Here is a 12,146-nt window from a genome sequence, read left to right as displayed (position 1 = left end):
CCGCCTCCCAGGTTCAAGTGATTCTCCTGCCTCAGCCTCCTAAGTAGCTGGGTCTACAGACATGTACCACCACGCCTGGCCAATTTTTGTGTAGAGATGGGGTTTCACCATGCTGGCCAGGCTGGTCTTGAACTCCTGACCTCAAGTGATCCACCTGCCTCGGCCTCCCAAAGTGCTGGGGTTACAGGTGTGGGTCACTGGACCTGGCCTGATTCCTATGTTTTCAGTGGTTTATAATCACCACTGAAATTATTGATTCTGGTGCTCACATTGTTCCTGTGTTGGCCAGTGGGAGCCCTTTCAGGCTGACTTCTGAATCCTTGTGATATCAGTATCTTTAAATTTTGAAATAATTTCAGACTTATAGAAAGACTACAGAAGTTAATAAAAAATACTACTATACATTCTTCACTTAGGTTTCCAAAATGTTACCATGTTTGCTTTACACTCATCCTCTTTCTTCCCCACCCCCCCATCATATACATATAAATTTCTTCTGAACTGAAATAAATAGTTTAAGTAGCAGACATGATGCCTCTCTGCCACTAAATATTCATTGTCTATTTCCTAAAAACAAGGACATTCTTTTACATAATTACAGTACAAGTCAAAATCAGGAAATTAACATTGCCATAGGACCATTATCTACTGTAGATCTTATTCAGAGTTTGTCAATTATCCCACTAATGTCTCAACTTCATTTTAGTTTTTCATAGTCTAGGATCCAATCCAGGATCACACATTGCATTTAGTAAAGTCTCTTTAGTCTTTTAATCTGGAACAGTTCCTCAATCTTTGTGTCTCATGACCTTGACATTTTTGCAGTGTACAGGTCATTTATTTTGAATATTCCTTGAATTTGGGTTTAGCTAATGTTTTTTCATAATTAGACCCAGGTTATGCATTTTGGCAGGACTACCAGTGCAGGAATGGTGTTGTGCCTTAGTAAATCCTATCAGGGGGTGCATGATGTCTATTTTGTTTCACTTCTGGTGATGTTAAGCCTGATCACTTGGTTATGGTGGTATCTGTCACGTTTCTCCATTACAAAGTGACTGCTGTATTTTTCCCTTTGTAATTCGTAAGTATCTTGTGGGAAGTGTTTTGAAATACTGCAAATGGTTTGTTTCTACTGAAGTTTTGCCCACTAATTTAGCATTCACTGATAATTCTTCCATGAAATATTTATTACTGTAGTTGTTGCCAAACGGTGATTTTCTATTTCCTCATTCCCTCTCTATTTACAAGTTAGTGTTCTACTGAATGGGAAAGCTTTCCCTTTTTCCCTACTTATTTACTTATTCATTGATATCAGTGTGGACTCCTGGAATCTATTTTATTCTTCCCAGTACTTTGAGGTCAGCCAGTAGGGGAAACCCTCAATTCCAAGCAAATCACAGATTTCACACTGGCAGGTTCAGAATACAGCCATCCCTCAGGGATTCAGAGTACTTATAGTTATACTTTTCTTTTTAAAAACCAGCTAAAACAAGTTGTGCTTAAGCATTTAAAACAGACACTATAAAGTAAATAAATTTCAGAAACGAACACAAAAAAGCAAAGGCACTATTTACCTCTAATTCTTGAGGCTGATTTTCGAGGAAAAATTTAGGGGGAAAAAAAAAACTTCTCACCAAGAAGGTACAACAAAACTAAACTTAAGAATTTAACAGTCTGGGTGCGGTGGCTCATGCCTCTAATCCCAGCACTTTGGGAGGCCAAGGTGGGCAGATCACGAGGTCAGGAGTTCAAGACCAGCCTGGCCAACATGGTGAAACCCCGTCTCTACTAAAAATACAAAAATTAGCTGAGCGTGATGGCACACGCCTGTAGTCCCAGCTACTTGGGAGGCTGAGGCAAGGAGAATCACTTGAACCTGGGAGGTAGAGGTTGCAGTGAGCTGAGATCATACCATTGCCCTCCAGCCTGGGCGACAGAGCAAGACTCCATCTCAAAAAAAAAAAACCAAAAACAAAACAAACAACAACAAAAAAATTAATAAAATTGATGTTTTGTTTTTGTTTTTGTTTTTTTGAGACAGAGTTGTGCTCTCTCACCAAGGCTGGAGTGCAGTGGCATGATCTTGGCTCACTGTAACCTCCGCCTCCCGGGTTCAAGCAATTCTCCTGTCTCAGCCTCCCGAGTAGCTGCGATTACAGGCACGCCAGGAAACCTGGCTAATTTTTGTATTTTTTGGTAGGGACGGGTTTTCACCATGTTGTCCAGGCTGGTCTCAAATTCCTGACCTCAAGTGATCCACCTGCCTTGGCCTCCTAAAGTGCTGGGATTACAGGCATGAACCACCATGTCCGGCCATAAAATTGAAAATTTTAACAACTTTAAAATTCGTTCATTAAGAGCCTCACTTCATTAGTCATTAAGGAAGTACAAATTAAAAGCAAAATGGAATTCAAGACCTACCTATTACAATGGCTAAAATGAAACAGAAAAGAAAATCCCTAATTGTGACAAGGATGTTAAATAACTAGAATCTCAAAAACTGCGTGTAGGAGTGTAAATTGGTAATACCACTTGGAAAACTGGCAGTTTCTACTAAAATTTAACATACATATGCCCTGTGACCAAGCAATTCCACTCCTAAGTACATACCTAACAGAAACGCATCTATCCATTGACTAAAATATATGCTAATGAGCGTCACTGTGATACTGTTAATAACACACCAGAATGGGATTTACCCTGGCATTCCCTGGGGTTGGGGGTGTGTGAATAGTGACTGGAAGGGTGTCAGGGTATCAGGCATGAGGGGAGCTTCAGAGGAGGAGTCTTTTTTTTTTTTTTTTTGAGACAGGGTCACACTCTGTCACCCAGGCTGGAGTGCAGTGGTGCAATCTTGGCTCACTGCAACCTCTGCCTCCCGGATTCAAGCAATTCTCATGCCTCAGCCTTCCAAGTAGCTGGGATTACAGGTGTGCGCCACCACGCCCTGCTAATTTTTTTTTTTTAAGTAGAGACAGGGGTTTCACCATGTTGGCCAGGCTCGTCTCGAACTCCTGACCTCAGGTGATCTGCACACCTCAGCCTCCCAAAGTGCTTGAATTACAGGCGTGAGCCACCATACCCAGCCATGTTCTACTTCTTGATTCTGATATTGTTGATGAATGTATTTACTTTATGAACATTATGTTTAATTTGGGCTTTTTCTCTCTATATAGAATTCATTTTCTGCTTGTTATCCTATAAGAATCTCTGGAGGCAGTAATAGTGTACACAAGGAGAGCCTCTATAAAAGATGTAACGGACAGACCTTTATTTCCCATTGTGACTAATGAATATAAAACCGTCTTACATTTGCATAATGCTGTACAATATTTACATACTTTTCAGGACTCTTCAACAGCTGCATGAAGGAGGTCAGGTATTATCTTAGTGACACCTATTCTTCTGGCATAATGACTAATAGTGCCCCTATTTAGTCTCATGTATCCTGATATCATGATGAATCATATGGTTACTACTTTACAGATGAGGAGACAAGAGACCCTGAGGTTAAATGACTTGCCCAGTATTACTCATTAGTAGGTGTTACACCCAGGACTCAAAGCCAGATTTTGTGTGGTTATCACTGATACTACTTCAGGGTACTCAGAAACAGAACTGGACACACAGAGTGAAGCCTTTCACTCTGCCCTGATCCTTGGGCTCTGGATCCCTATACCCCAAACCCCAGCCCTCTGGTCTGTGGTGTTACTGTGATGTGAAAGAGGATTGCCTTGGGACTGCCTTCTACCCTCCACACTGTGACTCTGGTTTCATGTCCAGTTCTTAGACTGTCCTCTGGGTCTCAACCCTGCCTTGTGGACTCCTTGGCTTTCAAGGGCCTAGACTTCTGAGATGACCCACTGTCTGTGCCACTGTGCATTCTTTATTAGTCCCAACCCTCAGCCCAAATATACACTCTTGAATATCTGCCACAGTGCAACTTGTAGAATCTTGAGAAATAAAATTTTCCAGTCTCCATAAGGAGATGTGAGGGATCTGATGAACAAGAAGTTGTACCTGAGATAAAATGCATACTGTAAAATGCGCACATCAAAAAGTTTTAAAGTGCACATGGAAAAGACATAACAACTGTAAACCAAAATCACAATGTTGGGTGTGCTAATGTGGTAGGATTAGGGGGAGTTTTTTCCCTTATGTCTAATATTTTTGTAATACCACTTTTATAATAAACATAAATCAACTTGAAGCAGTGTTTACAAATGTCATTTCTTACTTGATATGAACAAGTTTACTTTTAAACCTTATCTGAGAGTCTTCTATAAGTGATCTTAAATGTTCTATGGAGACCACAGTATTGCTTGCCTTTTCACTTTTAACTCAATTCCTTTCTCAGAGCAGCATACAATTATTTAAATATAGGCACCTCATCAAAGCACAAGTTATATGCATTTGCCTTTCAAAATTATCTTAAACCAGGAGCAGTGGTTCAGGCCTATAATCCTAGTGTTCTCGGAGGCTGAGGTGGGAGAATCACTTGAGCCCAGGAGTTCCAGACCAGCCTGGGCAACATAGGGAAACCCCAGTCTCTACCGAAAACAAAAAAAAAAAAAAAAAATCTTAAAGGGACTATAGTTGATAGATTATTGTCAGTTATCTTAATTTTTTCTTAATCCAAAAGAAGCACCTACTTCAAAATCATAAATATGGTACAAAAACATGATTTCAAAACTGAATCTCTTTAATGTATTTTTTTTCTTTTTTAATAGCCCCCAACAATGGCAACCAAGACATGTCAGCCTGGTTCAATCTGTTTGCAGACTTGGATCCACTTTCAAACCCAGATGCTATTGGACACTCAGATGATGAACTTCTTAATGCTTGACTGAAGTTATAATGTCACTTCAGTGGCCTTGAGACATCAATTTTGCAACGTATTTCCTTCGTGGAAAGGATTTAGATTGTAACCCGCACACAAAAGCACGGTGTTTGTGAATATAACACCTGTCAGCCAACTTTAGACAGATGGTAAAGACCACATTTGAATAAGTACACATCTTTCATATCTTGGATTTGCAGCTGTTGGTACTATGTGGAAAATATTAGAAACTTCTATGTGGAAAATATTAGAAACTACAGAGTTTGCGATATTTAGATACTGAAATTTATGTCAAAATAACGGCTAGGAATAATTCTGTCAATATGGAGTTGAGCTTATTTCTTTGGAAACCCTTTTAAGTTGCCTTGCTGGCTGTGAGAATTTTATATGTGGATAACAAAGATAGATAGATAGCATGTAAATTGGGTTGTGGTTTGGGGTCAGTTTTTAAATGAAATAGTAGCGAGGAGGATTTTCTGTTTTGGAAAACACCATTAGAACCAGACCAGCTTTGTTTTGGGTTAGAGAGAGTAAGATTTGAGAACTCAGTTTGCTTTAATGAAATCACAGAGAAACTTGGTACTTGTTTTTCTTCATTTGGAGGCTAAAATGTAATGTTTTTTCATTCATACAAAATAATGGACACTCCCTAATTCCATTATTAAATCTTGAAGGGGAAGTAGCAGGATAATTAATTTGCTAAGCCCATCCTCTGCAGAAACAGAAAAATCTATCTTCCCATCTCCTAAAACTCAGAATGCACAGTAATACTTAAGGCTTGTACAAGTGTCTTCAGACCCACTTTTTCATACACTTGCTATATAGTAGTATGCAGTATTTATATTATTCCTGAAAATAAAATGAGGGGAGAATATTCCCTAAGCAACTGGCAATAGTATTCCTGAAATACCTAGAAATTTCTATCTGAATGAGGGAGACACTTATGAACACCTTATCCTTACATATATTTGCATACTTATCTCATATTTTGTGACATAATTATTTAACCCAGAATACTTTCTGGCAGACATACAGAAAGCTCTGTGTGATCAATAAGGGAGTGTCTCATTTTTCTACTTCCCTCTTTCTGTGGGTGACATGATCTGAGGTTCTATTTGATTACTAAGCAAAATCTGTTACCCCTACAGGGTTTAGAACCTAAGTATTAGAGAGGAAGGCTATTTAATGGAAGTTAGTGTAAGCTGATAAAAACGTAGCTACCGTACACACACATCAATCACTCAATTTCCTGTCCTTTTAAATTGCCCACCCTTTAATTTTGAAGCAATTTCCCAAGTGTGTGTTTGTTTTATATTTGTCATCCAGTCCATTGCATTTCCATAAGAAGACATTTTGACTGGCTGGGTGCGGTGGCTCACGCTTGTAATCCCAGCACTTTGGGAGGCTGAGGCAGGCGGATCACGAGGTCAGGAGATGGAGACCATCCTGGCTAACATGGTGAAACCCCGTCTCTACTAAAAATACAAAAAATTAGCCAGGCGTGGTGGCACGTGCCTGTAGTCCCAGCTACTCCGGAGGCTGAGGCAGGAGAATGGCGTGAACCCGGGAGGCGGAGCTTGCAGTGAGCTGAGATGGCGCCACTGCACTCCAGCCTAGGCAACAGAGCAAGACTCCGTCTCAAAAAAAAAAAAAAAAAAAAAAGACATTTTAACTAAGTTATTCACAGTAGCTTCCATGTGCTCTTAGTTCTATTCTAAACAGGCTTATTTAGAAAAGGATTGCTTGTAATGTTTGTCATGGTACATAGAAAACATTGGACCAGAGTAGGTAAAATGCAGTCCATGTCCCATCCATAGCCATCTACAATAGTAACTGCCCACAGGCTCTCCAGAAAACTACTACAATGGCCAAGTACAGTATAGGCTGGAAAGACCTTATCTGAAGGTCAGAAACATTGACTCAGAAAAAAGGTATGAAGTCTTTCCATAAAATCTTTTCACAATATTACTCCTATTTCTTTTAGATTTTAATGAGCCATTACTTATCTCTTCAGAAGACTTAAGTCTTCCTTTATACTCAGTGAAATTTCCCAGAATGTAATACTGTCACTGTTCTGCCAAGTTCCAATCACCAAGATCATGATTACGAATCCCAATCTGAATTCTATACCCATGGTGACTCTGATGCTCTCAACTTTTGAGTGCCTCAAAAAATGCTAAAACTTTGGCTGGGCATGGTGGCTCACGCCTGTAATCCCAGCACTTTGGGAGGCCATGGCGGGTGGAACATTTGAGGGCATGAGTTCGAGACCAGCCTGGCCAACATGGTGAAACCCTGTCTCTACTAAAAATACAAAAATTAGCCAGGTGTGGAGGTACATGCCTGTAATCCCAGCTACTCAGGAGGCTGAGGCAGAAGAATTGCTTGAACCCAGGCGGCAGAGGTTGCAGTGAGTCGAGATTGCACCACTACACTCCAGCCTGGGCAACAGAGAGCGACTCTCTCAAAAAAAAAAAAAAAAAAAAAAAAAAAAGCTAACTTTATGTCTTGAGAGTTTGTACCATTTTTCTTTGTAGTGGTCACCTTGCTAATGCATTAGTTCTGAGATATTTATCTCCCTCACATGTGTGCAAGGAAGTCCCTGTTATCGAATACAGATACTTTAACAAGCAGACAAAGCAGAAACCCAAAGTCCATACTAGGAACACCCTAAATTTTCCAAAAGCAAAAGTTCTCCCGAAATGGAGACATACAAGGGACTTTTATTATTCTGTTACTAGTTTCTATAACATTTCTTCTTTCAACAGAGTATATGTTTCCCATTTAACCCAGAGCAACATTAACTTCCTTAGCAAGTCCAGTTCTAACTTCCAACAAGTCCAACCACTGTTTTTGAAGAGCATATCAGTAACTATATTAAGATGAAGGTAACCACATTCGTATTTTCTCAAGATTAGTTATTTGAAGCTCAGCAGTTTTTGTGGTCAGAAAGAAATTTTGCTCTATTAAACCAATACTGCTAATATAAAAAACCACCACACTGAAGAAACGAGGGAAAGGACGGGATAAGCACAGAACAGAGAATGACTGGTTGCTTTTTGTCTCAATCTAGATAATCCATTCAATAAGAAGTAAATTAATTATCCTTAACCAATGGTAGGCTGAGAACAACCCTCAAAATAGATATTTTTTATGTTAAATGGGGAGAAATATCTATACTTTATGTTATACTGGATAAAAATGTGTTTTAAGTCTAAAAAAAACCAGACGAGCTAAACTTTGCCTAGTGTGTCTACAACCATTTTTTAGGAGACGCAGGAATACCAGGGCATAATAAGATCAGATTGGTGTAATTTTGTATGTTTTTGAAATCCTTCATTAATTGTAGAACCTTGATATGATTAGAAACAAACTGTATTTCAACAAACAGGTTTCAGTATTTGCACACTGAAAAAGTGTTTTGTATTTTAACTATAAATATTTCACGTATCTGTATAGACCATCTAGAAATGTAGAGGTCTTACAGCATTAGAACGAAGGAAGTTTACATGTGCTCTATCTATTTTTCTGAGCCTCTTTTAATAAAGATTGCAAGAAGGCATAAAACAAGAGTTTGTTTCCTGAAGTTTTTAGTACAATTATTGTTTTCCTATTCAAAAACTTGGGTTTTACCTCAAGATCATAGTATTAGGAAAGTACATTGAGTTGATACGGACATGGGAGAACGAAAATAAAACCAGGGCAATTAATATCCTTGTAAGGCCAGGCGCGGTAGCTCACGCCTATATAACAGCACTTTGGGAGGCCAAGGCAGGCAGATCACTTGAAGTTGGGAGTTTGAGACCACCCTGGCCAACATGGTGAAACCCCATCTCTATGAAAAATATAAAAATTAGCTGGGCATGGTGGCAGATGCCTGTAATCCCAGCTACTTGGGAGGCTGAGGCAGGAGAATCGCTTGAACCCGGGAGGTGGAGGTTGCAGTGAGCTGAGATCAGGCCATGCACTCCAGCCTGGGTGACAGAGTGAGACTCCGTCTCAAAAGAAAATCCTTGTGAGATGAATTCGTTCTTATTTCATATACAAGGGGACTATGTAAGATATGGGAAATAATATAATGTACGTTATTTATGTAAATACTTTCAGTAACAAAAACTAACAAATATCAAAAATCTGAGCCTAGACACAAACAATTAAATATAAGCCATAGTATGTAACCTGACTTATTGAAGGCAGGAATAAAAAGAAGAGAGCCAGAATTGATTCAGTTATTTTTGTCTTCCATAGTGTTGGCAGGGCCCTGCATTTCTCTACCTTGAGCAATGAAGCAGTCCCAGAATTTTGGAATATAGAAATTAGGAAGGAAAAACGAACTTTAAAATATTAATTTAGTAGAACTGAAAGTAATGCATTTCATGCAACAGTAAAGTGCTTAAACATGGCAAAGAAAACTAAGGGACAAGATAAGAAAAATGGTTGGTAAAGATGGGTCACATCCAGAAGCCCAACATAAGCTATTTTTCCATCTTTTTCTGTACCATTTAAAAGACTACTAAAGAGTTCAAAACAAACTGTCCTTGGCATTTAAAGTCAAAACATGGTTCTTCACTCAGTGGTGTAAATTAACTACTCATTGGCCAAAGAGTAAATACAAAAAGGAGATGAAGTTCTGACTGGTGTTGTGGGTGAGATTTTGCAGTGTATGTTTTTACATTTGTAGTGTACGTTTTAAACTTCCGGTTTTCTTGCTGCCTCAACATCTCCACAAACAGGCTGTGAGCACCTGGCCCAGTGTGATATGGGTGGCCCCTGCCACAAGTTTCCCTTGCTACCTTGCCCATGACCTAGTAACATTTAAATGCACCAGTGAAATTCTCTTTTTCTTGTGTGCTTCTCCCTGACCCAAAGGCTCCTGCCCATGTCTTAGGCCTCTCCGCTCCCCACCTGCTTGGCTGAGCCCCCTCCCATGTGACCCCCTCTCAGCATGCAGTGACTGGTCTCTCTAGGACCTGTGAGTATATTACAACTTTTTTTCCTGTGTCTCTCCTGTGATATCTCTTGTGGCTAAACCTCACTGACCATAACCTAAAAAAACACATACAAAAAACATGAAAGAAAAAGTTGTTTCTTGAGCTGGCCTGGACGAACGGGGAGCCAGGGGCTCGACCCTGGCTGTTGGAGGCGCAGTGAGGCCTGGTCTCCGGCTGCCAGACCACGCTGAGCGGAGCGCGCGGCAGGCTCGCCTCAGCGCTGCGGGGAACGCGCGCGCCGCCGTCCGCGGTCGCCCGTAGGTGCCTGCACGCGTCGGGGTCACGGCCTTTGGCCGACAGGAGCGAGAAGACTCAGGAGCCGCCCCGCGCCTTCGATCCGGCGCTGCTGGAGTTCCTGGTGTGCCCGCTCTCCAAGAAGCCGCTCAGATATGAAGCATCAACAAATGAATTGATTAATGAAGAGTTGAGAATAGCTTATCCAATCATTGATGGGATTCCTAATATTATCATATTAGGCAGCTAGGATGACACATCAAAGAAGCAAGAAGTGGAGCAGCGCTAGTTCATAATTTAAAAAAATAAAACAGCCAACTCTTCTTAGTACCATATACCTTTTAAAACACAGTGGCAAGTAATAAGCGGAAGAGAAGAATCTTTCTGTCTCTTTCTACGTTGACTGTTCTTATTCCACTGGTTTATTTAGCAGGACTGTTCCACTCAGCCTCTGTAGAAGAAAACTTCCCACAGGGCTGCACTTGCACAGCTAGCCTTTGCTTTTACAGCCTGCTCTTGCCTATTACCATACCGGTGTATGTATTCTTCCACCTTTGGACCTGGATGGTTATTAAACTCTTCATGCATAACTGATGCAACTAGAGTCAATATGCTGTATATATTAATGATAGCTCTTGGGCATCTATCTCTGAAAGCTCAAATGGATGGAATTTAGTTTGTGGGAAAGAGGCTTTGCTTTGAGCATATCAGGCTTAGGACTGTGGACGGCTTAAGTTGCAGACGCTTCTTTTATTGTACTCTTGTTCTGCCCGTGTTTTTTGAAGGCTCTGACATAACTGCTTTATCAGAAGAAACATTTTGACAGTGTCTTGTTGGAGATAAACATCCCTAATTGACATGTGATGACTACTTCTTATTCCATTCATCTAAGAGTCATTGAAATTTTGTTTTCTTTGTTTGTTTAGCTTCAAGGTCTTTGGTAGTCACATGTTAGGGATGACTGAAATAATTCCAAAGGAGTGATGTTGGAATAGTCCCTCTAAGGGAAAGAAATGCATTTGAACGAATGTGATATAAAACCACATAATCAAATAGAAATTTCATGTACTTACAAAAATTTAGTTTGTAAAATTACCTTCATTTCTTTGACATTAAATGCTTATATTAGCAATAAAGATGTTGACACTTTCTCATAAAAAATTTAAAAAAATAAAAAGTTGTTTCTTTTTTCCCATTTTAAAGTAATATCTTCTGAAAGAAAAAAATCAGCCATAGCACTACCATCTAGGAATAACCACTACTAACATATTTTTGGTTATTTTTTTGTAGTGCCTTCAAGCACACATTTGAATTGTGATCCGGATGATTTTACTGTCCCCTCTCTCTTAAATGGGCATGCCAAGTCACAGAGATTTAAAAACCAATTATAGGCCGGGTGAGGTGGCTCAAGCCTGTAATCCCAGCACTTTGAGGGCCGAGGCAGGCAGATTGCCTGAGGTCGAGAGTTTGAGACCAGCCTGGCCAGCATGGTGCAACCCCGTCTCTACTAAAAATACAAAAATTAGTCGGGCCTGGTGGCAGGCGCCTGTAATCCCAGCTACTGGGGAGGCTGAGGCAGGAGAATCGCTTGCACCCAGGAGGTGAAGCTTGCAGTGAGCCGCGATTGCCCACTGCACTCCAGCCTGAGCAAAAAACCAACTATATAAGTCTTTCCCTCAAAAAAGCCAGGTGAATTAAAAACCCACCAGAAATGTGACTGAAGTTCGTTTTCGCCTCTCTAAAACATGTGCTCCCCAAATTAAAGAGTATTTCTTTTTATTTTCTGCAGCTATAGCAACATTAAAAACCAGAGAGTTTGAGAATGTGTCACTAACATCCTTGATCAGGAGCCGATAACTAACCAGCTCCTTTCTTTTGACCCTCTGAACTAAGCTGCCAGCAGCTGTAGCAATGAAGAGGATCACAAAGAACCAGGCCGTGTGGCCCAATGTCACATAATCTGCAATGACTCCAACATCTTTATTTTACCAGCGTCACTGGTGCAAGCAAAGTAGCAGTAAGACTACATGATTAACTCTGAATTCCAGAGTCAGACTTGGTTCAAAGCCAGTCTCTGACGT

At 40.3% G+C, this 12,146-nt stretch overlaps 1 protein-coding gene and 1 pseudogene across 3 annotated transcripts in view; both read left to right on the top strand.

Moving 5' to 3' along the window:
• ICA1L (islet cell autoantigen 1 like) overlaps positions 1–11,203 on the top strand; it is a 98,591-nt gene extending 87,388 nt beyond the window's left edge. For all 3 annotated transcript variants that reach the window (NM_001288622.3, NM_138468.7, NM_001288623.2), the window contains one exon: positions 4,731–11,203. In NM_001288622.3, the coding sequence (NP_001275551.1) occupies positions 4,731–4,846 (116 nt within the window). In that variant the 3' untranslated portion in view covers positions 4,847–11,203. The remainder of the gene's footprint in view (positions 1–4,730) is intronic.
• PIGYP1 (PIGY pseudogene 1) lies at positions 9,934–11,227 on the top strand (annotated as a pseudogene).

This window comes from Homo sapiens, chromosome 2, assembly GCF_000001405.40.
Source record: "Homo sapiens chromosome 2, GRCh38.p14 Primary Assembly".
Classification (NCBI taxonomy): Eukaryota; Metazoa; Chordata; class Mammalia; order Primates; family Hominidae; genus Homo; species Homo sapiens.
The sequence above is the reverse complement of the archived record's forward strand: the minus strand, read 5'-3'. Positions and strand labels throughout refer to the sequence as shown.